The 25896-nt window shown below is 43.8% G+C and overlaps 1 protein-coding gene across 4 annotated transcripts in view, besides 5 other annotated features; it reads left to right on the top strand.

Moving 5' to 3' along the window:
* Positions 306–635: a silencer, noted in NCBI's record as "silent region_4858". NCBI's record gives its function as "represses an Ori minimal core promoter by ATAC-STARR-seq in GM12878 lymphoblastoid cells {active_cell/tissue: GM12878}" and the evidence as "EXISTENCE:reporter gene assay evidence [ECO:0000049][PMID:35858748]".
* Positions 458–25896, top strand: part of PPTC7 (protein phosphatase targeting COQ7) — a 50074-nt gene continuing 24635 nt past the window's right edge. For all 4 annotated transcript variants that reach the window (NR_138550.2, XM_024448869.2, NM_139283.2 and 1 more), the window contains exon 1: positions 458–967. Coding sequence is in view for 3 of the 4 variants with exons in the window: in XM_024448869.2 (XP_024304637.1) it covers positions 745–967 (223 nt within the window). In the remaining variant the exon portion in view is untranslated. The remainder of the gene's footprint in view (positions 968–25896) is intronic.
* Positions 676–825: a silencer, noted in NCBI's record as "silent region_4857". NCBI's record gives its function as "represses an Ori minimal core promoter by ATAC-STARR-seq in GM12878 lymphoblastoid cells {active_cell/tissue: GM12878}" and the evidence as "EXISTENCE:reporter gene assay evidence [ECO:0000049][PMID:35858748]".
* Positions 3873–4122: an enhancer, noted in NCBI's record as "active region_7009". NCBI's record gives its function as "activates an Ori minimal core promoter by ATAC-STARR-seq in GM12878 lymphoblastoid cells {active_cell/tissue: GM12878}" and the evidence as "EXISTENCE:reporter gene assay evidence [ECO:0000049][PMID:35858748]".
* Positions 8139–8283: an enhancer, noted in NCBI's record as "145 bp enhancer 250 fragment used in the MPRA reporter construct; PK_construct_1607". NCBI's record gives its function as "activates an SV40 promoter by MPRA in HepG2 cells {active_cell/tissue: HepG2}" and the evidence as "EXISTENCE:reporter gene assay evidence [ECO:0000049][PMID:23512712]".
* Positions 8204–8217: a transcriptional cis regulatory region, noted in NCBI's record as "HNF4 motif; enhancer activity is reduced when this motif is scrambled". NCBI's record gives its function as "necessary for full MPRA enhancer 250 activity {active_cell/tissue: HepG2}" and the evidence as "EXISTENCE:site-directed mutagenesis evidence [ECO:0005528][PMID:23512712]".

The raw sequence follows: 25896 nt of genomic DNA, 5'->3' as shown, positions 1-25896 counted from the left end.
GCCGCCCTAAATCCTTCCAGTATATTACTTGGGGAGGTGTCACTAGATCTGTGTACCTCTGTTTCTCATTATGTGACTCCATTCTGGTTTCTTGCAGGTTTTTGTTTAAAGGAATGGTGGCGTTATTTATTTAAAACAGGCTTTAAAAGATACGGTTAAAACAGGGTAGAAAACCCTCACGTGGCCCACCTGCAATTCCTACTAACTTAACATAGGTCCCGCGTCTGAGGAATCCCCCTAGGTCCTAAATCTTTGGCAGCCAAGTCAAAAGTGACTACGACTCCGGGACTATAATTCCCAAGAGACACTGCGTCCGCACCCTCTGCGCATGTTCAACCTTGGTGACTGCATAAGGCAGCGAGCCCAAGGGGCTGGGCTTGGGCCTGAGCGGTGAATCGGGGCGGGGCTAGGGGCAGGGCCAGGGAGGGGGCGGTGCTGCCGGCACCGCCCGGAACACGCTAGTGGAGCGGAAGATGGCGGCGGCGGCGGCGGCCGCTGCAGCCGGGACTTCAGTTGGGCTGAGGCGGAGGAGCCGCCGCTTCTGACCTCGCTCTGGCTCCGGTGCGCGCGGCTGAGCGCGTGCGAGGCCCCGCGCGTCGGGCAGGGGCGGCGGCGGCCACTGCGCGCCGCCCTGAGGAGCGCCCCAGCGGCGGCGCGACTGCGGCTGAGGAGAGAGCCGGCTCCGGGCCTCCGCGTCCTCCTGCTCCCCCGGCCCCCCGCCTCCTCGGGGGGGCGGCGGCGGCGATGTTCTCGGTCCTCTCGTACGGGCGGCTGGTGGCCCGCGCCGTGCTCGGCGGCCTCTCGCAGACCGACCCCAGGGCCGGCGGCGGCGGCGGCGGCGACTACGGACTGGTGACGGCCGGCTGCGGCTTCGGGAAGGACTTCCGTAAGGGCCTCCTCAAGAAGGGCGCGTGCTACGGGGACGACGCGTGCTTCGTGGCCCGGCACCGTTCCGCGGACGTGCTCGGTGAGTCCCCGACCCGGTTCCCTTGCCCCAGCCTCGGATCCGCCTCCCGGGGACTCCCCGCGCGGGGCTTCCCCAGTTCCTCCCGGCGGCGAAAGGAGCCAGAGCGCTCACATGGAGGGAGCGCTTACTATGCGCCAGGCGCCGTGCCAAGCGCTCCGAGGCGCGTTTTCCGCTTGAACGACCCCCATTTTAGAGAGGAGGAAACTAAGGCGCACAGCGGTCAAGTCGTGTGCTCAAGGTCACAACCCGAGAGTGTGACCGGTCTGTCCGAGTCCAGAGCCACACTCTCGGTCTCACTCGGCCGTGCCAGCCCTGGGCGACCTCGTCCCCTCCCTGGGCGACACCTGCAGGCTCCTAACCTCGTTCTGGTTCCCTCTCCGCATGCCCCGGGGATCCCTGCCTCTTCGCGTGCTCCCGACACCACAGCCCGGCCCAGGCTGCGGGATCGCCGGCCGACAGGCAGTCGTGAGCCCCCAGACAGCCCGGCCGTATTCTTTCGCCGCCTGGATGGTAACCAAATCTTCACCCTTTTCGGAGTGTGGCGGTGGGGGCTGCTGGCTTGGCGAAAAAACCCTCACAGCGTTTTCTCCCAAATTGATCTTGTCCACTTGCGGTCACTTGGGGGTTGGCAGAGTCTCCTTGATCCAAAATAGAATGGTCGAGCCTACTTGTAGATTGCAGCCGGTAAAGCTCTGAGGATTGGTCACAGCCTTTTCAGGCCACAGGTGCTCCCTGAGGCCTATTCCAGTTATACCTTTTGGGGGTGGGAGACTACGGAGAGAGCTGGCAGAAAGGGCTAAATATAGTTCACAAGCAGTCAGAAACTTTACCATAATGTACGCCTTAGGAGATTTTGTGTATGCTATGGGATATTGTGCCGTTAAAACTCTTTGAATGAATAAAGCAATGCGCTCGCTTTGAAATTGAAGGACGTGTTGTCATTGAACTTGGGTTCAAATGTCACTTTGATTTCCCTTCCCAGGTGAGACTAAGTTTTTGGTTACTTTAAATTTCATATGCTGAGGCAGAGTTTGGCATTGGAACAAATGATTCTGTAACTTTTTTATGACAGTAATTATTTTTTAATCTGATCTCAGAATAATTGCCTAGTATCTTTGGTTCTACTACATGTAGTGTTTGTGAACATGGGACTGGAAAGGTTGTTCTCAGTTTAATTTATGAATGACCCCATTACCTGGGTTGAAGAAAAAGCATTTAATGTTTAGGCAACGCTATTGATATTAACATGAGAGGGAGACTTAGAAAGGTCCTGCAGCTTGCAGATTGAAATTGTACAAATCCACCCCGAAGTCAGCTGTCAGTGGCTGTCTTCCCTGATACATTTAGAAGTGCCTCACTCAATGAGCTTGTGACCTGTGCTGCGTTTTTTTTTTTCAGACGGAGTCTACCTCTGTCACTCAGGCTGGAGTGCAGTGGCGCAATCTTGGCTCACTGCAGCCTCCGCCTCCCCGGTTCAAGCGATTCTCCTGCTTCAGCCTCCCGAGTAGCTGGGATTATAGGCGCCCATCACCATGTCCAGCTAATTTTTGTATTTTTAGTAGAGATGGGGTTTCACTGTGTTGGCCAGGCCGGTCTCGAACTCCTGACCTCGTGATCGGCCTCGTGTTCGCCTCGGCCGCCCAAGGTGCTGGGATTACAAGTGTGAGCCTGGCCCCTGTGTTGCTTCTTAAAGTTGTGTTCATAACATAGGATAGGGGATAATGAGCCTCTAAGGTTCACCTCATAAATCTGTATGCTGGGCTGCGCGTGGTGGCTCACTCCTATAATCCCAGCACTTTGGGAGGCTGAGGCGGGTGGATCATGAGGTCAAGAGTTCAAGACCAGACTGACCAATATGGTGAAACCCAGTCTTTACTAAAAATACAAAAATTAGCCGGGCGTGATGGCGCATGCCTATAGTCCCAGCTACTCAACAGGCTGAGGCAGGAGAATCTCTTGAACCAGGGAGGTGGAGGCTTCAGTGAGCCAAGATCGTGCCACTGCACTCCAGACTGGGCGACAGTGCGAGACTCCGTCTCAAAAAAAAAATAAAATAAAAAATCTGTATGCGACTTTTGTGAAAGATCCGTGACTTGATTGATGATTTGGGGAGTATTTAAATGTATCAAATTCTATATGGAAGCTTGATTTTAAAATTTTGGAAGGCTAGACCGGGCGTGGTGGCTCACGCCTGTAATCCCAGCACTTTGGGAGGCGGAGGTGGGCGGATCACCTGAGGTTAGGAGTTCGAGACCAGCCTGGCCAACATGGCAAAACCCCGTCTCTACTAAAAAATACAAAAATTAGGCAGGTGTGGTGGCACACGCCTGTAGTCCCAGCTACTAGCGAGGCTGAGGCAGGAGAATTGCTTGAACCTGGGAGATGGAGGTTGCGGTGAGCCGAGATCACACCACTGCACTCCAGCCTGGGTAACAGAGCAAGACTCCGTCTCAAAAAAAATACAATAAAATTTTGGAAGGCTACCTTCTTAATGGAGTGGGATATTTACAAGAATTGGGGGGATTTTGGTCAAACCCATTCTAAAAAAGTATAAACATAATTTCATGCCCTGACATCCTGGTGGAAATCCAGTGAACTTTGATGCTCAGCTTTGCCACTTAGTAGCTCTGTGATTTGTGGTCTTGGGCAGAGTCTCTCTTGAGTCTCCTTTGGTTTATCTGGACTAGGGGATAAAGGGAATGGACGATCTGACCCTTAGTGACTACAGCTTCTGACCATCATATCACATTTTCTTTTGTTCTTTTCTTTTTTTTTTTTGGTGGGTGGGGGGTGCGGGTATGGAGTTTCGCTCTTGTTGCCCAGGCTGGAGTGCAATGGCGCCATCTCGGCTCACTGCAACCTCCGCCTCCCGGGTTTAAGTGATTCCCCTGCCTCAGCCACCTGAGTAGCTGGGATTACAGGCGCGCGCCATCACGCCCGGCTAATTTTTGTATTTTTAGTACAAACGGGGTTTCATCATGTTGGCCAGGCTGTACTCGAACTCCTAACCCCAGGTGATCCACCAGCCTCGGCCTCCCAAACTGCTGGGATTACAGGCATGAACCACCGCGCCCAGCCCATATTTTACTTTTGCTTTGAATAGATGGCACCCTTTGTTCTGCACCTCAAATGACAGGTGTCACGGGCACCTTCAGTAGATTCCTGTTTTGTATGTAGCACTAAACCAGTGGTTTTTAGCTTTCCTTGATTCACAACCCCTGAGGATCAGGACCCTGTGCACAGAGATAAAATTTTGCATGGGCTCTTAGGAACTTTGCTGACTCCATGACTCCTCTGATACCACCTGGAGGTCCATGCATAGGAATCAGATCAAGAACCCCAGCTCTGTACCCTTGAAGGGAATGCCAGCAGACACAGTCAGATACTGGTAGCTGATGTGACCAAAAGGTGGTTGTTAGCCATGTTTGACAAAGATCAAGCATGCACATATGCAAATGGTGGGGGATAGGGGCAGTGAAGGACAGGTTCTCCAGGACTGTCCTGTTGTGGAGGAGCTCTTCCGGACGGCAGTCTTGGAAGCCACCTGAAATAACTTCATGAGTTGGCCTCATTTGATCCTTGGCTGTCCTGAACCAGTTCATATGATGGTGACTTCTATTTAGTTGATACCGTAAAAGGTGATGACTTTTTTTTTTTTTTGAGATAGAGTCTTGCTCTGCCACCCAGGCTGGAGTGCAGTGGCACGATTTTGGCTCGCTGCAACCTCTGCCTCCCAGCTTCAAGCGATTCTTGTGCCTCAGCCTTCCGAGTAGCTGGGACTACAGGCATGTGCCACCTCACCCGGCTAATTGTTTGTATTTTTTTAGTAGAGATGAGGTTTCGCCACGTTGCCTAGGCTGGTGTCGAACTCCTGACCTCATGTCATCCACCTGCCTCAGCCTCCCAAAGTGCTAGGATTACAGGTGTGAGCCACAGTGTCTGGCTAAGGTGATGACTTTGAATGACTCTTTAATACTGCTGTCAACTCTAGAGGTTGGAGTTACAACCTGAATTACATTAAAAGGCTATGTTGAGTAATAACGTTACGTTGAACTTAAGTGCTTTTGAACCTTTTGGTTCTGTAGATAATTAATTTTCTTTGAATTGACACCATATTTATTACTGAGTATCCGTGTAACAGATTATTCACTGTGGTCATCTAGGACTCCTTGACTGGAATGAAAGCTGTTTCTTTCTTTTTATATGAGAAAGAGAAATCTCTTTTGTTTCTTTAATTTAAAATTGATCTGTCCTATTAGTCATGCAGTGACTAATAGTGCTTGGTGCTTCACAACATTTTGTATAGTCCCCACTGTATTTCGTTTCGGAAAAACTGACTATGTTGGGTGTGGTGAGACATAGGAACCACTCCTATCATTCTCTAGAAAATTGTCAAAGGTGCTTTCTCTTTACTAGGTCCAACAGGAGTAAACCAGTACTAGCGGGAGCCGTGTACACTTTTCTTGTTCCTTCTTCCCTGTGGCTAATTCTGAGTTCTCTTATTACTCTACGTGGCATGGCTTCCTAGGTGCACAAAAATATGAGAACTGCATGTTGTAATACCTGGGCTTCCCACAGCCTTATGCTACTTAACAATAGAATCAAAGACTGTTGAGAATTGTAACACTTAGAAACCTTGGAGTCTAGTTTTTTTCACCTCACTGATGAGAAAACAGGCCTCCAGAGAGTCAGATGACTTCCCCAAGGTTACTCTACTAGTTATTGGTGGAACTGAGGCTGACACCTATCTCAGTCTCTCATCTGAGACTCCCTTTCCCAGTCCTGTCCCCGTTAGACCACTGGTCAAGTTTTCTTGATGATATATGTGAATTAAAAACCAGTCAGTCTCCTGATACTTTTGTGCTTCGAATGCTTTTCCTGGGTGTGTGTGTGTGTGTGTTTATAACTTCTTTATTCACTCTGACTCATAACTGATGTGCAACAAAAACTCCTCTGCATGCTAAACCACAGTTTAGAGAAACCACTTATTTTAAAAATGGCAGCCTGGTCTGTGCCATATAAATTTTGACCTCTGAATATTGAGTTGTAAAGTATTTATTATGAAACTGTGGGATGTTTATTTAAGCTTAAACTTGAAACCTAAAAGTGAAATTAAAATAATTTCATATCCCAGCCTTTGGATCTGATTTTGATCGTGGTCAGGATTTTGAAGTGTTTTTGTGAGTAATGTCAGTCTTAAAAGTAGTTGTCTTGAGGTGTAAAGATCATATGAACAAAATTAAGATCTAAATTATATTTAGGAAGTGAATGGATGAGGTAGAATTTGGTGTTTTCAAACAGTCATGATCATTTTAATGTACTTATAGAACCTCTATTCTGAAAGTGAGTTGTCCTTTTAAAAAAGTAGTCACCTTCAGAGTGTGTGTGTGCACCCACTGACTTCAGTCTTTCAAGAAGTCCTTGTTGGAATTTTCCTCAGCTAGATTTCAAGCCATGTCAGGACACCACTCTCATTATATTACCATAATTTTTTTTTCTTTTTTTTTTTAATTTTACTTTTTTTAAATTCCAGGATACATGTGCAGGACATGCCATAATTTTCTTAAAGTCAGATTCCAGCATCATCTACCTGTTGATAGCAAATATGACCCTGAGTGAATTTTTTTTTTTTTTTTTTTTTTGAGACAGAGTCTCGCCCTTGTGCCCAGGCTGGAGAGCAGTGGCGCGATCTTGGCTCACTGCAACCTCTGCCTCCTGGGTTCAAACAGTTCTTCTGCCTCAGCCTCCCAAGTAGCTGGGATTACAGGCACCCACCATTACACCTGGCCAATTTTTATATTTTTAGTAGAGACGGGGTTTCACCATGTTGGCCAGGCTAGTCTCGAACTCCTGACCTCAGGTGATCCACCTGCCTTGGCCTCCCAAAGTGCTGGGATTACAGGCGTGAACCACGTGCCCAGCCCCTTGAGTGAATTTTTAAAAACTGATATGTATAATTCACATTCCATAGCATGTATCCTTTTAAAGTGTACAGTTCAGTAGTTTTTACATTCACAAAGTTGTACAGCCACTGCCACTATCTAGTTCCAGAATGTTTTTCATCACCCCCCAAGAAACCCCCTATCCATTAGCAGTCACTCCCCATCTCCCTGGCAACAGAAAGCAGATTCTGTCTGTGGATTTGTGTTTGAGACATTTCATACAAATGGATCGTGTAATATGTGGCCTTTTCCTTAGCATGTTTTCCCTTAGCATGTTTTCAGAGTTCATCCATGTTGGAGCATGTGTCAGTACTTCCTCCCTTTTTATGACTGAATAATGTTCCATTATATTTATATACCACATTTTGTTGATCCATTCATCTGTTGATGGCCATCGAGTTGTTTCTACTTTTGGCTATTGTGAATAGTGCTGTGCACATTTGTGTGCAAGCTTTTGTATGGACATGTTTTTAATTTGAGGGGATATATACCTAGGAGTAGAATTGCTGGGTCATATTGTAACCCTGTTTAACTTTGTGAGGAATATAGCTGTTTTTTTATGTAGCTATATAATATTAATATACATATAATTATTTTATATAAGGGAAAATACTTTAAAAATTGCAGCAATCAAATATATAAATTCTGAGATCAATCAGTACTTTAAATATGCCTGATTTCATAATGAGCTGTGTGCTTCCAAGAGAAAATTGTGGAATATTAATAAGGAAGTGTGAGTGGATTTAGTAAAAGAGCCATCTAGGACTAATGAAATAGCAGGGTTTAGGAAGCCATTGACTAGTGGCTTTCTGACTATTCTGAGTGGTCTTTCATTCTGTAATACATAAGATTACAGGGTTGATGGATAGAGGAGGTTTGCTGTTTGCTTTTTAAACTTCTGTTCCTTGGTATTTTTCTCATTTTGCTATATAGGTGTGTTGCAGTTTTATAAGTTACTTATTAAGGTACCTTTATTTTTGAAGTCATTTCTTCATTTGTTATAGCTTCAGAGCTACTTTTCCTTTGTTCACAAATCTTTTGAGATTTTCTAGCTTAGTTTAAAATTTTCCTAACTTACAGTTTATCTCTTGATTTGTTAACAGTCTCTGTAAAGGATTCTGGTTGAATCCTTTTGTAGTGCAAGTAATTGAATTTTAGAAGCATAACTGTTTATTAAGGAGGTTTTAAATTGTAGCAGAAGGTAGATTACAGATGCAAGCTGTTGTGGAGCTTTTTTTTTTTTTTTTTTTTTTTTTTTTGAGGTGGGGTTGCTGCATGGGAGGAGGCTGTACCCTGAACTTTAGCACTGGTTTGTGAAACTGGGCAATACATAACCTGAATTGTTGCAACAGTATCCAAATGGAGTTTGTACTAGTGTGTGACACCAGAAGCACTACACCGGGTTAGAATGTGACCTACAACCATGTCCTTTGAGTAGCTCAAATGCTAAAGTTAAGTTCAAGCTAAATGTCAAATTCATTTTATGTTCCCATGCCTTTTAGAGAGAGGTCTTGCCTGGGGCTTTAGGTTCAGAAGTTTTAGGAAAATGCTTTGCAAAAGTAAGTTAGCAGTATTTTATTTCTAAAGAAATTTGACTTTTCAAACTGGAAGTTTTAGTTTATGAAAAATAATGTGAGTTTGCCTTTCAAAATTAGTTGTTAACTTTTGATCTCTTTTTAAGAAGTGATGTCCTGGATCCTAATTTTTGTTGTTAGTAATAAAATTTATGAGTCTGTCTTGTTTGGGAGTCGTCATATATTTTAAAAACCTGATAGGGGCCGGGCACGGTGGGTCACAACCTATAATCCCAGAACTTTGGGAGGCCAAGGCGGGTGGATCATTTGAGGTCAGAAGTTCAAGACCAGCCTGGCCAATATGACGAAACCCCATCTCCACTAAAAGTTTAAAAAAAAAAAAAAAAAAAGCCGGGCATGGTGGCGAGTGCCTGTAATCCTAGCTACTAGGGAGGCTGAGACATGAGAATCGCTTGAACCTGGGAAGCAGAGGTTGCAGTGACCCGAGATCGTGCCACTGCACTCCAGCCTGGATGATAGAGCCAGTCTCTGTCTCAAAATAATAATAATAATAATCTGATAGGGAGTTTTCTGTCTCCCTGAGAACTAAAATAATTTGTTTCCTAACAGTTCACAAAATTGCATATCATAAATCAAGACTTTTTGTAAAAGCTGACCTATTGCAGAGGGCATTAGGCTAACACACGACTTATTATTCATTTCAACTTGAGTTGACAACTGGCACAGCTCTTTCAATTTAGTTTAAAGTTTTTAAAGAAGAAAAGAGATGCTAAATGTTTTTGAATAAAATCTCTAACAGGAAAAATCCCCAACAGGATTGGGGGTTGAGGATTGGGCAATGGGGAAGGACAGAAGCTTTTCTTTAAGGAGTAAAAATGCTTCATTCTTTTTTTTTTCTAAGCCAGTTGTTTCATATCTGACACAAAACATGATTCTCCCATCCTTCTAGTGCTTTATATAGTGCCTTAGAAGTTGCAAAGCATTTTTATGTTTTACCTTATTTAATCTTTGTAACTACGAAGCTGCTGCTCTTATCTCCACTTAATGTGAATCTGTTTCCTCATCTATAAAACTGACACATCAAGTAAGGGTGGTATAGTTAGTATTATATTGGGACTTGAACCTAGGTCTCTTGCTTGCATGTCTAATGCTTTTAATTTTTTTTTTTTTTTTTTTTTTTTTTTTTTTTTAATTATTGTGGAGACAGAGTCTCTCTGTGTTGCTTGGGCTGGTCTCAAATTCCTGGGCTCCAGCAATCCTCCCACCTCAGCTTCCCAGAGTACTGGGATTTAAGGCATGAACCACGTGCCCAGCCTGTGTAGTGCCTTTATTTATTTATTTATTTATTTAGAGACAGAGTTTTGCTCTTGTTGCCCAGGCTGGAATGCAATGGCACAATCTCGGCTCACCGTAACCTCCGCCTCCCGGGTTCAAGCGATTCTCGTGCCTCAGCCTCCCGAGTAGCTGGGATTACAGGCATGTGCCACCACACCCGACTAATTTTGTATTTTTAGTAGAGACGGGGTTTCTCCATGTTGGTCAGGCTGGTCTTGAACTCCCAATCTCAAGTAATCTGCCCGCCTCGGCCTCCCAAAGTGCTGGGATTACAGGTGTGAGCCACCGTGCCTGGCCTGTGTAGTGCTTTTAAATAAATGGATGTTTAGTGCTTATAAAAGTAACACATCTTCAGAAAAGTACCATATAAAACACCTATAAATCATAACTCAGCTATAGTAAGCTATAGTCATTGTGGTTCCCTCTAGCCTTTGTGTATATAATTGTATACATGTTATTAAAAAACAGAATACATGTTGGATTAATATGCATCCTACTCTGTAAAGCTTTTAAAAAGTTGCAACAGTGTGCAAATGGAGTTTTTAATAGTGTGTGACTCCAGAAGCATGCTGGAGTGCATGTTTCCATACTGGTAAGCATAACTGCATCATATTCTCCTGCATGTATAGCCCATCAGTTACTAAACCAGTCCTCTATTTGTAGTTATTTAGGTTGTTTCCAATTTTCTGTTATAAATAACACTAGAATGAGTATCTCTTTACATCTGAATATTTCCTCAGGGTAATTCCTTGAAGAGGAATTCCTGGGTCAAAGCCTATGAGCATTTGCAAGGCCTTTGATATAAAGATGACCATAGGGCCGGACGTGGTGGCTCACGCCTATAATCCCAACACTTTGGGAGGCCAAAGTAGGTGGATCACTTGAGGTCAGGAGTTTGAGAGCAGCCTGGCCAACATGGTGAAACCCCGTCTCTACTGAAAATACAAAAATTAGCTGGGCGTAGTGTCGGGCGCCTGTAATCCCAGCTACTCTGGTGGTTGAGGCAGGAGAATCACTTGAACCCGGGAGGCGGAGGTTGCGGTGAGCTGAGATCATGCCACTGCACTCCAGCCTGGGTGACAGAGTGAGACTCGTCTCAAAAATAAATAAATAAATAAATAAATAAAAACTTAAAAAAGATTACGATAGGTCCTCCAGAAAGGTTATATATTACTTTCCCAACTGTGGTGAAATTGCTCTCATCAGCAAGCTTATTGTTGATCTTGAGTCTGTCTCACTTAAGAATTTATAAATTTACTAGGTTCCTAAATAGTTGTTTTTGAGGTGAATAAGTTCTAGAATGGATTGAATTGTTGGTATGAATCCTAAGGACTACAAAATGACTGCAAAAACTTTGCCAGAGACTACGAAAGTGACTTTCTACAAAGAGTGCTTTCTGCTGAAGGGCCCAGTACTATTTTTACTTGGTGAATTCCAACACACGTTTGCACTGTTCTCGTATTCATTAACAGAGTATTTTGAAGAGAAAGGGAATTTATTTCTTTTTGGACTACTCTGTACATTGTTATCTTTTTTGTTTTTTGTTTTTTGTTTTTAAGACGGAGTCTCACTCTGTCACCCAGGCAGGAGTGCAATGGCGTGGTCTTGGCTCACTGCAGCCTCCACCTCCCGGGTTCAAGCGATTCTCCCTCAGCCTCCCTAGTAGCTGGGACTACAGGCACATGCCACCACACCCGGCTAATTTTTGTATTTTTAGTAGAGATGGGGTTTCACTATGTTGGCCAGGCTGTTCTTGAACTCCTGACCTCGTGATCCACCCACCTTGGCCTCCTAAACTTCTGAGATTACAGGTGTGAGGTGAGCCACTGCACCTAGCCACGTTGTTATCTTTCAAGGATGCTGTTATCTAGCAAGTTTTTTGACTTACCAAAATTAGTCTATGCTGTCATTTGAGGTAAATGCAAAAGGTTGGCTGGGCTGAATGAGGCAAACAAAAAGTGCTTCTGTTTTCATATCTGCTATGTTTGAATAGCAATTTGGGGCAAGAAAATAAGATTTAAGCTATTTCCATAAGAGCTAGAAAACTGTTTATGGCCTCTAGGTTGACCACTAATTGGTGATGGAACCATTAGTGTTTCTATGAAATTAGAAAGTCTAAATAAGGATGCCTTATGTATGCATTGTTCTTAGAAATCCATTTCTCTTGGTTTTGAAAGGCCATTTTGATCCTGTCATTTTTTTCTTATTACAATACACAATTCACCAAACAATCAATGGTCTTTGAATAACAAGGTTAGTATGTTTTGTGGATGCCTGAAGCTCTTTAGTATGAAACCCTATATAGGCTATGTTTTTTCCTGTACATTCATACACACCTGTGATAAAGTTTAATTTATAAATTAGGCACAGTTAGAGGTGAGCAGCAATAATTACTGTACAATTCTATACATGAGTATTTATAGATCATTTGACTTCGTGAAGTCAATTAATACTGTAGGGGCAACCCACCCCTACATCTGGGATTTTTTCCTTGTGTTGTCATTACAATCTATTAAACAGCTTCCAGGGGCATCAGAAACTGAAATGCTATCTTCTTCTGTTTGAAATGGTTCTAAAGCTGCTTTAATAATGGCCCAATCATTCCATACTGTAAGTGGAATGATATTACCCTTCCTACCTGCTTGTTTTAGTTCCTTACCAATTCTTTTCCAATCTTTTAGATCTAAAGTTCCTTGTTCTGGAAACCATGGGCAAAATTGTTCTATTATTTGAAATAGCTTGATTAGATTTTTTGTAGATACTTTAACTCCCCCTCTTTTTAAAAGAATTTTAATAAAGCTGAGATAAGAGGCATATTTACTTTTAATTTTACTTTTAGTTTGCCCCATTATCACCCTAGCTTCTTCCGAGTGCACAAGCTTACCGTAAGGCTGACTGTAGACGTCCTCGGGATCTCTCGTCGACTTGTCCTCAATGACCACGCTCGAGCGTACCTTCACCCTAGAGAAAAGCCCCACGTTGGGCGCCAGATGTAGGGGTGGGTTGCCCCTACACACCTGTGGGTGTTTCTCGTAAGGTGGGACGAGAGATTTGGAAAAGAAAAATACACAGAGACAAAGTATAGAGAAAGAAAGAAGGGGACCCGGGGAACCAGCGTTCAGCATATGGAGGATCCCGCCAGCCTCTGAGTTCCCTTAGTATTTATTGATTATCTGTGGGTGTTTCTCAAAGAGGGGGATGTGTCAGGGTCACAAGACAATTGTGGGGAGAGGGTCAGCAGACAAACACGTGAACAAAGGTCTTGGCATCATAGACAATGTAAAGGATTAAGTGCTGTGCTTTTAGATATGCATACACATAAACATCTCAGTGCTTTACAAAGCAGTATTGCTGCCCGCAGGTCCCACCTCCAGCCCTAAGGCGGTTTTTCCCTATCTCAGTAGATGGAGCATACAATCGGGTTTTATACCGAGACATTCCATTGCCCAGGGACAGGCAGGAGACAGATGCCTTCCTCTTGTCTCAACTGCAAGAGGCATTCCTTCCTCTTTTACTAATCCTCCTCAGCACAGACCCTTTACGGGTGTCGGGCTGGGGGACGGTCAGGTCTTTCCCTTCCCACGAGGCCATATTTCAGACTATCACATGGGGAGAAACCTTGGACAATACCTAGCTTTCCTAGGCAGAGGTCCCTGCGGCCTTCCGCAGTTTTTGTGTCCCTGGGTACTTGAGATTAGGGAGTGGTGATGACTCTTAAGGAGCATGCTGCCTTCAAGCATCTGTTTAACAAAGCACATCCTGCACCGCCCTTAATCCATTCAACTCTGAGTTGACACAGCACACGTTTCAGAGAGCATGGGGTTGGGGGTAAGGTTATAGATTAACAGAATCTCAAGGCAGAAGAATTTTTCTTAGTACATAACAAAATGGAGTCTCCCATGTCTACTTCTTTCTACACAGACACAGTAACAATCTGATCTCTCTTGCTTTTCCCCACAAATACTAATTTATAACCATCTTTGTTGTTGTTGTTGTTGTTCCAGGATCTTGTGCTTGGCCATCATCTTTTATTCTTTTATTAGGATTTCAGATTGAAAAGTGGTTGAGGTGTTTGTTAGTGGCTTTAAGAAAAACTTTGCCAACATTTTAGTTAGGTGTTTAAAACTAAAGTGAAAGGACAAGGGGCACTGTTTCCACTCTCTAAATCATTATTGAAACTTCACTGGAAATATACATGTGGCAGTGCAATAAGGACAAGAGATAAATTGGGAAGCCAGAAATGAAGGCTTTGTTTCAAAACTAGTTCATGCAGTAAATGTAATATTGTATGTGAAATGCAAAGTATAGCCCTATTTGTTTTGTTTTCTTTTCCTAAGTGAATGAAGACAGGATAGCCTTATTTGTTAGCCTTTGTTTATAAAGTTTCTTAAACTGGCTCTTTTTTTCCTGCAGTGTGACTTATAAGTCCCACAGTCTTGGATCCGAGAAAGGGACTCTAGAGAGACTGTGTCTTCCTGCCCCTCATTTCACAGATGAGGAAACTAAAGCTTAGAGAAACGATCTGACCAGTGTCTTAGGTCCAGTTAGTGGCAAAGAAAGTTGGGAGCAGTGTTATCTCCAGACTTTTCTTTAATGCTCTTTCCATCAGCTCAGCCCTCTCTTTCTCTTTTTTTATTTTTATTTATTTTTACTTTTTATTTTTTGAGACAGAGTCTCACTCTGTCGCCCAGGCTGGAGGGCAGTGGTGTGATCTCCGCTCACTTCAACCTCCGCCTCCTGGGTTCAAGCAATTCTCCTTCCTTAGCCTTCCGTGTAGCTGGGATTACAGGTGCCCGCCACCATGCCCGGCTAATTTTTGTATTTTTAGTAGAGATGGGGTTTCACCATGTTGGCCAGGCTGGTCTTGAACTCCAGACCTCAAGTGATCTGTCCACCTTGGCCACCCAAAGTGTTGGGATTACAGGCGTGAGCCACTGCACCTGGCTTTTTTTGAGGGGGGGGGGCGGGGACAGGGTCTTGCTGTGTTGCCCAGGCTGGAGTGCAGTAGCTATTCTCTACACAGGTGTAGTTGTAGTGCACTGCAGCCTCGACCTCCCGGACTGAAGCCATCCTTCTGCCTCAGCCTCTCAAGTAGTTGAGACTACAGGCTTGAGCCACCTTGCCTGGCAGCCTTCTCTTTGAATGGCCTGTTAGAGGAACATCTTGTAGCGAGTTCTGACCCAGGGAATGACACCTTGTGAAACGCTAGGATCCATTACTAGGTTCAATCCCTTTGGAGTTTTTGGCTGAAAGTTTGTATACCAGATATTGGTGTTCTAACTTTTCAGTGTGGTCAGCTGAATTCATTGTTTATTGGTTGCTTCCTATTAGTCCCTGACAGTTGTTTTAAAGACCAATGAACAAAACAGACTTCAACCCTGATGTTTCATAGTCCTGTGGGGAAGGCAAACATGCACAGGACTGGTGTGAAAGAATATGCATGAGGGCCAGGCGTGGTGGCTCACGCCTGTAATCCCAGCACTTTGGGAGGCCGAGGTGGGCGGATCACGAGGTCAGGAGATCGAGACCATCCTGGCTAACATGGTGAAACCCCATCTCTACTAAAAATACAAAAAATTAGCCGGGCGTGGTGGCAGGCGCCTGTAGTCCCAGCTACTCAGGAGGCTGAGGCAGGAGAATGACGTGAACCCGGGAGGCGGAGCTTGCAGTGAGCCGAGATCGCGGCACTGCACTCCAGCCTGGGTGACAGAGCAAGACTCCGTCTCAAAAAAAAAAAAAAAAACGCATGAGATTGTAGGGGCACAACGTCAGGCCTTAAGAGAAGGGTTTTTCAGTAAGCTGAGGCAAATGAGAAGAATGGGAATACTCCAGATTGAGGGCTCAGCAAAGGCAAAGTAGATCCCCAAAACTACAGCTGTTTCATGGCTGGTAGGGTCGGCATAGGGGTCAGTGTTGAGAATTGATGTTAGAAAATAGACTGAGACTAAATTATCATGTTAAGGAATTGGGTGGGTTTTTTGTTTGGTTTGGTTTGTTTTTTGGGGGGTGGGTGGGGAGGAAGCTGTAGAAAGAGGTCTTTGCTTTTGAAGAGGCAGCACATTCAAATGGTACAGAATTTAAAAGGTGTTCAGAATTCAAGAGTGCACAGTGAAGTCTCATCACCCTTGTCTCCAAGCTACAAAGTCCTCTCAAGAGGCAACCAGTACTAGTTTCTGTGTATCCTTCTAAAGAATATTTCACATATACAAGCAAATAAATACATATTACATGGAAGGTATTTGACTAGAGGAGTAACATGGACATTGCAGTGTTGTAAAAAACAAATCGATACAGAGGGTGTAATGGGAGAACAGGAGGCAAAAGACCAGTTACGAAGCTACTGAAATTGTCTGAGCTAGAAAGGGCTTTACCTAGGGCAGTGGGAAGTAGTTGAGCTTCAGACTCATGGTAGGCTTGGTGATAATTGGTCAGAGGATAAAAGAGAAAGAGGAGTGGAAATTGAGTTAGAGGTTTTGCACTTGGAAGATGCCTTAAGGGTTCTAAGCCTGGAAGTATGTATGGGTAGCTGGGCTGCCATTAATTAGGGTGGGAAATGCAAAAGGAAGGATCAAGTTTGGGAACAGAAAATGGGATTGCTTGGTACAAGAGGCATTTTACAGGCAGAACCATCAGGCTTGTGGAATGCTTCCATCCAGCTGGACCATTGATTCTCATTAGAATCGCCTGTGCTGAGAGGCCTAGGCCCACCCTGGCCACACCGATTCAGGGAGTAGGGCTGGGGTTCCATAGGTAATCTCATTGTGCAGCAAGGGTGGGGAATCATTGAGCCAGGTACTAGGCCAGCCAGTGGGGATGAAACAACGGTTAGCTGTGTGAGACTCAGCCCTTTGGAGGCTCACAATGTACAGGGGAAGAAAAGAGAAGGGAAGATCGCTATAAAGGCACTGGTATTATTGTAGTGACGAAGAAAATGGTTAGGCCCATGTATGTATTCCTCATAGTTTTAGGATTTCCCATGTAAAATGAGAAATCTTTGAGTTGGAATCCTGACACAGGAGGCAGCAGGCTCTGAAGTATTTGCTAAGTAAGGTTACTTCAGAGTCCTTCTGGGGAAAATATTCTTTTCAAAGTGCAGGTAAATCCTTTTTTCCTTGTTATTTTTGGAGACAAATATATGTTTATTAGTACTTGAAAATGTTACTATTGAATGTTTAATGGAATATTGAATGGTGGTGGATGTGTGACTGAAAGAGCTGAATGGACTACTTATCTTTTATGCATTATCTCTGAGTGGGCATTGTCTTTTGGTTGTGACCACAGACTAGTGTTTGTAGAGCTGGCAGCCTACAAACATGGGTCAAAGACTCTTTTTTTTCTGATTGCTGCAGTCTAGGCTGGTCTGTTTGCTGCTCGCCAGCCTTTCTTAGAGATAGGCATAACTCTAACTTGCTGAATGTTGGCTGTGAGCGGAGCACTGGTAGATGTTCTGAAGAGGTTATCCTCGTTCCTCACACCGGCCCTGTGAAATCGAGGATACGACTCCATTCACAGGTGAAGCTACTGAAGCTCAGAGAGCTGCCCAAGGCCATGCTTAGCACATCTTGTTCTGGGGCTGGAGTTTGAACCCAGATCTGCCTCCAGAGCCTGTGTCCTTGCTCAGTATCCCACACTGCCTTTCCAGTTAGAAAAGATCATTTTAGATTTTCTTTTAGGGAGGTGATTTTGGCTGATTGTGACTTCTACTTAGTTATTAGCTATTGCTTTTGTTTTAATTAAGGGGTTTTGCTTAACTGTTAACTATTAGTTAAAACAAAAACTTAACAAGCCTTGTTGAGTTTGGTAGCCTCAGGCCAGCCTTTCCTTCCAGGGACTCCTAAATGCCGTAAGCTCTGCACTGCATTGTTTGCGCTGATTAATGGTGAGAGGTTCCTGGCATGAATGTAATAGACATTTACCTGGAGGTCAAGTTTCCCTGCTCTTGGAACCCTCACCTGCTATGACTTGTACTTTATTCATGTAAGTCAGAATCCTAGGGAATTGCTCAAAATGCCTGTCTTGTCAGCCTCCTCTCCTACAACTCATTTTCTTTCATCCTTCAAGGCTCATTTCAGACACTTCTTCATTAATCCTTTTGATTCCTTCAGCTATGCATAATCTGACCTTCTTTGCTTTTGTTTTTATTGGTGCATATTTTACTTTATTATAGTCATATATCTTGAATCTCCCTAAACTGTCCTCCCCAACCAAAATCATCACTTCATTTTAAGTTCCCATATGCAGGAAATATTTTATTACATATAAATCTTTAGCTCCCTTTCACCATAGTGTCTTGCATACAGTAAATGTCCAATAGAATGTTTTGAATAGTTTTAATATTAAATGTGAGTATAGAATGTGGTTTTTACCTGATTTACATAAATAGTTCTTGTCATCCTTCCCATGAAAGTAACATTACTCATTGCTAAAAAATTGGAAAGTATGGGCCAGGCACGGTGGCTCACGCCTGTAATCCCAGCACTTTGGGAGGCCAAGGCGGGATGGATCACAAGGTCAGGAGTTCAAGACCAGCCTGGCCAAGATGGTGAAACCCCGTCTCTACTAAAAATACAAAACTTATCCCAGCATGGTGGTGGGCGCCTGTAATCCCAGCTACTCAGGAGGCTGAGGCAGAGAATCGCTTGAACCTGGGAGGCGGAGGTTGCAGTGAGCCAAGTTCATGCCACTGCACTCCAGCCTGGGCGACAGAGCGAGACTCCGTCTGAAAAACGAAACAAAACAAAAAAAGTATGAAAAAGAAAAAAAAAGTACTCATTGTCCTACTACTCAAAGATCATTACTTAGTTGAACAATGTATAGAGTAAAAAATATAGGCCAGGCGTGGTGGGTAATCCCAGCACTTTGGGAGGCTGAGGCGGGTGGATCACCTCAGGTCAGAAGTTTGAGACCAGCCTGGCTGACATGGTGAAACCCCGTCTCTACTAAAAATTCAAAAAATGAACCGGGCATGGTGACGGGTGCCTGTAATCCCAGCTACTCAGGAGGCCGAGGCAGGAGAGTCTCCTAAACCCAGGAGGTGGAGGTTGCAGTGAGCCAAGATTGTGCCATCACACTCCATCCTGGACGACAAAAGTGAAATTCCATCTCAAAAAAAAAAAACAATGTATATATACACATATACATATACGTGTATATATATATAACGTGTATGTATATATACACATATACATATACGTGTATATATATATAACGTGTATGTATATATATACGTGTATATATATGTGTATATAAATTAGTGTTCAGAAATTAAGAGACAGTTCTACACTTGGCAGGCTATTCAAAGGAATGATGTTCTCGTTTAAAGGAAAAAAAAAGTTACATTTGTGCCAGGCCGCATGTGACTATAGACCTCTCCCAGAGGGTGCCTATTTTAGTCAAGGCCAGCCCTTATTTTTATAGAGGGTGAAGAAAGCAGTGGGTAAATAGTATCTTCTTTGGGGTTAGGTCAAGGATATATGGCTTGTCATAAATATCAGGTTGACAAGAATTCTAGATCTAATCTTGTAAATTATAAACAGAAGGAAAATCTTCTCCCCAGCCTAAAGGGCCAGTACAAGTAGGCATATATCAGATAGCTGGTCTTAATTGCTTGTTACTTCCTTACTTAATTTTTGAATTATTTGGTATTATGTGACATTTTCTAACACCTGAAAACAAACTGAAGCCACAGCTTTAATAGAGGCCCTTACTTCTGTAACATAATTAGTGCCCTGTCTCTGCTATTCATAACTTACAATAAGTATGACCTCCCAGATGATTTGTTTGTTGCCTCCTCCTGTCCAGAAACATTGCTAACAGCATTTGGCATTTGAGGAAGATACTGTTGCAGGCCAGAAAGGAGTGAAGTGACCTTTTCAGTAACTTAACCTTCAACTCTGCAGTTTGTGGAAGGCAGACCAGTGATTCATACCAAGTTTGTAATTTGCACAAGTTCCCAAGCCACAGTTGAGCCAGAATAGATAATTCCACATTAAGTATTGGTATTTAAACAGAATTATTGAAGTTAAAGGAAGAACATTTTTATTTTTAAAAGGATGACTTTAAGTTTCTTTGCCTTCACACAATTGTTTCCTAATCCTCATGTCAGCACTTTTCACTGCTTTTTAAGACAAGGCAACTGCCCAGAATAGTCTGGAAATTATCTTCTCTAGTTAATGAAGTATTCTAGACATAGGTGTAAGTGTATGTGGAGGCTCATTAATTTGATTAATTCTTAAGTTGTCTCATAATTACTAAGCTAGCAAGGAATAGCTAACTATTTTGTTTGGAATTCTCAAACACAAAATGAACCGCTTACTACAGCTTTGATTTTGTTGTTTGAGTTTTGCCTATAGTTTCCATTTTCACACTTTTTTTTTTTTTTGAGACAGATTTTCGCTCTTGTTGCCCAGGCTGGCGTGCAGTGGCGCAGTCTCGGCTCACCACAACCTCTGCCTCCCAGGTTCAAGGGATTCTACTGCCTCAGTCTCCTGAGTAGCTGGGATTACAGGCATGTGCTACCACGCCTGGCTAATTTTGATTTTTAATAGAAATGGGGTTTCACCATGTTGGCCAGGCTGGTCTTGAACTCCTGACCTCAGGTGATCCACCTGCCTTGGCCTCCCAAAGTGCTGGGATTACAGGCGTAAGCCACCTCATGCGGCCATTTTCACATGTTTTATTACAGGGTTGAACTTTTCAGTCCATCCTTTGAGCTTCATTACCTTCACTTTTGAATTAACTTCTGCTTAGAGATCTTGTTCTTGACGTAGTCTTGATCTCTGGAGAATCAAAAGACACAGATTTCATTGTGATTAATGTGGAATGGAAACTTCTTTTTTCTTCTTCTTCTTTTTTTTTTTTTTTTTTTTTTTTTTGAGATGGAGTCTCACTCACCCTGTCGCCCAGGCTGGAGTGCAATGGCGCAATCTTTGCTTACTGCAATCTCTGCCTCCCAGGTTCAGGCAATTCTGTCTCAGCCTCCCAAGTAGCTGAGACTACAGGTGCCTACCACCAAGTCCAGCTAATTTTTGTATTTTTAGTAGAGACAGGGTTTTGCCATGTTGGCCAGGCTGGTCTCGAACTCCTGACCTCAGGTGATCCACCCGCCTCGACCTCCCAAAGTGCTGGGATTATAGGCATGAGCCACCGCGACTGGCCAGAAACATCTTTCTTCTTTTTTTTTTTCCTCTTCTTTTTTCTTTTTTGAGACAGAGTCTCGCTTTGTCACCCAGGCTGGAGTGCAGTGGCTCAATCACAGCTCACTGCAACCTCTGCTTCCTGGGTTCAAGCGATTCTCCTGCCTCAGTTACCCAGCTAGGTGGTATTACAGTCATGCGCCACCATACCTGGGTCATTTTTGTATTTTTAGTAGAGATGAAGTTTCACCATGTTAGCCAGGCTGGTCTCAAACTCCTGACCTCAAGTGATCTGTTTACCTCAGCCTCCCAAAGTGCGGGATTATAGGTGTGAGCCACTGCACTGGGCCGGAAACTTCTTGCAAAGGGAGTATTTCACTTGCTTGTTAAAACAGGAAGTGCAGCATAATCTATATAATTTTACCTCCATAGAACTGAAAGGACTGTTGTTAGTCAAAAAGCACATGACATTTTTCTGTATAACTTGACAGAATATATTTGTTGAATATATTTTTTCAGTCATCCTGCTTTTCATTCATTTTGGATTTTTTTTTTTTTTTTTTTTTTTTTTTTTTGAGATGGAGTCTCAATCTGTTGCCCAGGCTGGAGTGCAGTGGTGCGATCTCAGCTCCCTGTGCAACCTCCGCCTCCTGGGTTCAAACGATTCTCCTGCCTCAGCCTTCCGAGTAGCTGGGACTACAGGCATGCGCCACCAGGCATGGCTAATTTTTTTCATTTTTAAAATAGAGACAGTGTCTTGCTCTTTCACCCAGACTGGATTGCAGTGGCACAGTGATAGCTCACTGCAGCCTCAACCTCCTGGCTCAAGCGACTCTCCGTTTGGGATAATTATTTGCAGATACAACATTTCACAGTCTTGAATCACAGGGGAGTGTTTTTTGTTTTGTTGGGGTTTTTTTTGAGGCAGGTCTTGCTGTGTCACCCAGGCTCATGTACAGTGGCACGATCACAGCTCCCGGGCTCAAGTGATCCTTCTACCCCTGTCCCCCAAGCAGCTCGGACCACAGGTGTGTGCCACCATGCCTGGCTAATTTTTTGTATTTTTAGTAGAGACGGAGGTTTTACCATGTTGCCCAGGTTGCTCTTGAACTCCTGAGCTTAAATGATACACCCGCCTCAGCCTCCCACAGTGCTGGGATTACAGGCATGAGCCACTGCACCCCGTCGGGAGCGTTCTTAAGTGCCCAAATAGTTGAGGTTTAAGAAATGTTGATATAGGCTGGATGCGGTTGCTCATGCCTGTAATCCCAGAACTTTAGGAGCCCAAGGCTGTGTTGGGGGGCAATCACTTGAGGTCAGGAGTTTGAGACCAGCCTGGCCAACATGGCGAAACCCCATGTCTGTATTACAGATAGAAAAATTAGCCAAGCATGGTGGTGGGTGCCTGTAATACCAGCTACTCGGGAGGCTGAGGCAGGAGAGTCACTTGAACCTGGGAGGCGAAGGTTGCAGTGACCTGAGATTGCGCCACTGCACTCCAGCCTAGGCCACAGAGTGAGACTCCATCTCAAAAAAGAAAGAAAGAAAAAAAAAAGAAATGTTGATATAAATGTGATCTGTTCCATTGGATAGGAAATTGAGTTTCTACTCTGATCTCATTTTTTTTCTAGTTACAGTGCTTCATGCTGTGATGTCTTTAGACAAATGAGGCTGGCTCTGAGAACACTAAAGTCTTTGAAAAGCCTCAGCATCTGAAAAGATGCCTGTCGTACTGCAATAAATATTGCTTAGCCCCCTTTCTCATTAGATGGCCCCTTACTGCAGAAAGTCTGTAAAAGCAGATACCCTTATTCCTTAGAGTGCAGAGGGTCTCCTGATACTTCTGTTATTCAATTATTGTGATCCTGCCAGATTCTTATTCAGTTTCTCCTCTAGAGTTTCAACTCACTATCAAGTACCCATCCTAGTAGGCAGGAGATGTGTTTCACTGATGGAAAGACAATCCATGTAGAGCCAGTATGCTTCTTTGGAATGCGAGGCTTGATGTAAGATGCCTTGAGATCATCAAAGATGCAAGGAATAAAGCTATTACCTTTGGATACTACTTAATATTTGAAATTCTTCCAGAGTGTACATTAAATACATTTTTGGACAAAATCAAATTGTTTTTCTTCATTGATGCTTATATTAAAATTGAAGTTTAGTATTTATTCTCTAGGCATCGCGTTCTTCTAGAAAACGTTTGCTTTGTAGGTAACTGCATGTCAGTCTGAAGATGAGTGCAGTAGGAGGGGTTTAAAATAATTGCAACATCATGTTGATGGCTGTTAATGGAGGACAGGACTGGAGACGCTCTTGCTGATTTTGACTAGTTCAGAAGTCTTTCTTATAGTAAGCCTTTTGCAATTACACAGTTAGGTGACTGTGTAATTGGGAAGATAGGATTTTTAAGATAGCTATCATTTGGTTATAACTACCTTTTTTTATTTTTTATTTTTTGAGACAGGGTCTCGCTCTGTCGCTCAGGCTGAAGTGCAAGTAGTGTGATCACAGCTCATTGCAGCATTGACCTCCTGGACTCAAGCAGTCCTCCCACCCTCAGCCTCCTGTTTAGCTGGAACTACAGGTGTGTGCCACCATCCCTGGCTGATTTTTAAATTTTTTTGTAGAGACGGGTTTTGCTATGTTGCCTAGGCTGGTCTCGAATTCCTTGGCTCAAACAATCCTCCTACCTCAGCCTCCCAATATGCTGGGATTACAGGTATGAGCTACCACGCCTGGTCATAACTACCATTTTACATGGTTATACCATTTTGGCAAAGACAAAAACATGTTAATTAGAAAAATGAAAATTGCTTAAGAATTTTCTTCTTGGCTGGGCTCAGTGGCCCATTCCTGTAATTCTAGCATTTTGGGAGGCCGAAGCAGGAGGATCACTTCAGCCTAGGAGTTCAAGACCACCCTGGGCAACATGGCGAGGACCCATCCCTACAAAAAATAAATAGCTGGGTATGGTGGCACATGCCTGTAGTCCCAGATATTCAGGAGGCTGAAATGGGAGAATCTCTTGAGCTCAGGAGTTTGAGGCCGCAGTGAGCTATTACTACACCACTGCATTCCAGTCTGGGTGACAGAGTGAGACCCCATTTCTTTTTTTTTTTTTTTTTTTTCCCCTGAGGCTGAGTCTTGCTCTGTCGCCCAGGCTGGGGTGCAGTGATGCAATCTTGGCTCATTGCAACCTCCACCTCCCAGGTTCAAGTGATTCTCCTGCCTCAGCATCCCAAGAAGCTGGGATTACAGGCACGCACCACCACACCCAGCTAATTTTTGTATTTTTAGTAGAGACGGGGTTTCACCATGTTGGACAGGCTGGTCTTGAAATCCTGACCTCAAGTGATCTGCCCACCTCGGCCTCCCAAAGTGCTGGGATTACAGGCGTGAACCACCACGCTGGGCCCGAGACCCCATTTCTTAAAAAAAAAAAAAAATTTTTTTCTTCTTATAAACACTTAATGATGGCAGACACCCAGAATTACTCTTTTTGCTTCCCTTTTTAACTCTTAACTGTAGAAACCAGGCATGGTGATTTGTGCTTGTAATCCCAGCACTTTGGGAGACTGAGGCAGGAGGATCACTTGACCCCAGGAGTTTGAGACCAGCCTGGGCAACATAATGAGACCGCATCTCTACAAAAAAAATTTTTAAAAAAATGAGTTGTGTGTGTTGGTGCATTCCTGTAGTCATAGCTACTCTGGAGGCTGAAGTGGGAGGATCCCTTGAGCCCAGGAGTTCAAAGTTGCAGTGAGCTGTGTTTGCACCACTGCACTCCAGCCTGGGTGACAGAGCAGGATGCTGTTAAAAAAAGAAAAAGGGAAAAAGCATCAGTCTATGGAAAACTTAATAAAATACTTTGTAAAAACATAAATACTGTAACTATTTTCTAATTGCTCGTTTTGCTTCATAAAACTGACATTTCCATTGAAAAGATAAAACTAGCCTGGGCACGGTGGTTCACACCTGTAATCCCAGCACTTTGGGAGGCCGAGGCGGGCGGATCATGAAGTCAAGAGTTTGAGAACATCCTGGCCAACACGGTGAAACCCCGTCTCTACTAAAAATACAAAAAATTAGCGGAGCGTGGTAGCTACTTGGGGGGCTGAGGCGGGAGAATCACTTGAACCTGGGAAGCGGAGGTTGCAGTGAGCCAATATCGCACCACTGCACTCCAGCCTGGGCGACAGAGCGAGACTCCGTCTCAAAAAACAAAAACAAACAAAAACACTAAAGGATTTTTCTGTGCCCTATGGTCTCTTCTCAATCTTTTGCTCAGCTATTTCTGATATGTAACCATTATCTTAATCTAATAGTGATTTTAATTGGATTTTGGGTCAAGGGAAACACTTAAGCTAGATGTGTGCTCACAGAATGTTATTAATGGAGACATAAGATGATTACAGTGAATTAAAGGAAATAGCTTCTATATTCGGTGCAACCTCTTTATCTTGGCATTCAAGGCCCTTCTAGTCATTAATTCAGCCTCCTTTTTAGCTTCACTTCTCTCTACCTCCATAGAGATTATATCATTCTGACAAACTGGATACCCTACCACTAAGGTATCAATTCTCAGATTTTCTGGCCCCAACTTGCCTTGCCAGCCGCAAACTCATAGTTCCTCACTTTATACACAACACTTCCACAAAGATGCCCTGCTGGCACCTGAAGTTTGACATACCCAAGACAGAATTAAATGTCTTTTAAAGGCATTTACACACCCTTGCCAACTGTAGAATAATCTAATCAATATTTTCTAATTCCCCAAATCCAGAAACAGTAGTTCCCTCTTATTTGAGGTTTCAATTACCCACTGATGTGTTTTGGCATTGTCCCCACTCAAATTTCATCTTGAATTGTAGTTCCCATAATAATCCCCATAAACCCTCATGCTGCTATTGTGATAGTGAAGTTTTCATAAGATCTGATGGTTTTATAAGGGGCTTTTCCCCCTTTGCTCAGCACTTCTC

Source organism: Homo sapiens, chromosome 12 (genome assembly GCF_000001405.40).
Source record: "Homo sapiens chromosome 12, GRCh38.p14 Primary Assembly".
Taxonomy (NCBI): Eukaryota; Metazoa; Chordata; class Mammalia; order Primates; family Hominidae; genus Homo; species Homo sapiens.
The sequence above is the reverse complement of the archived record's forward strand: the minus strand, read 5'-3'. Positions and strand labels throughout refer to the sequence as shown.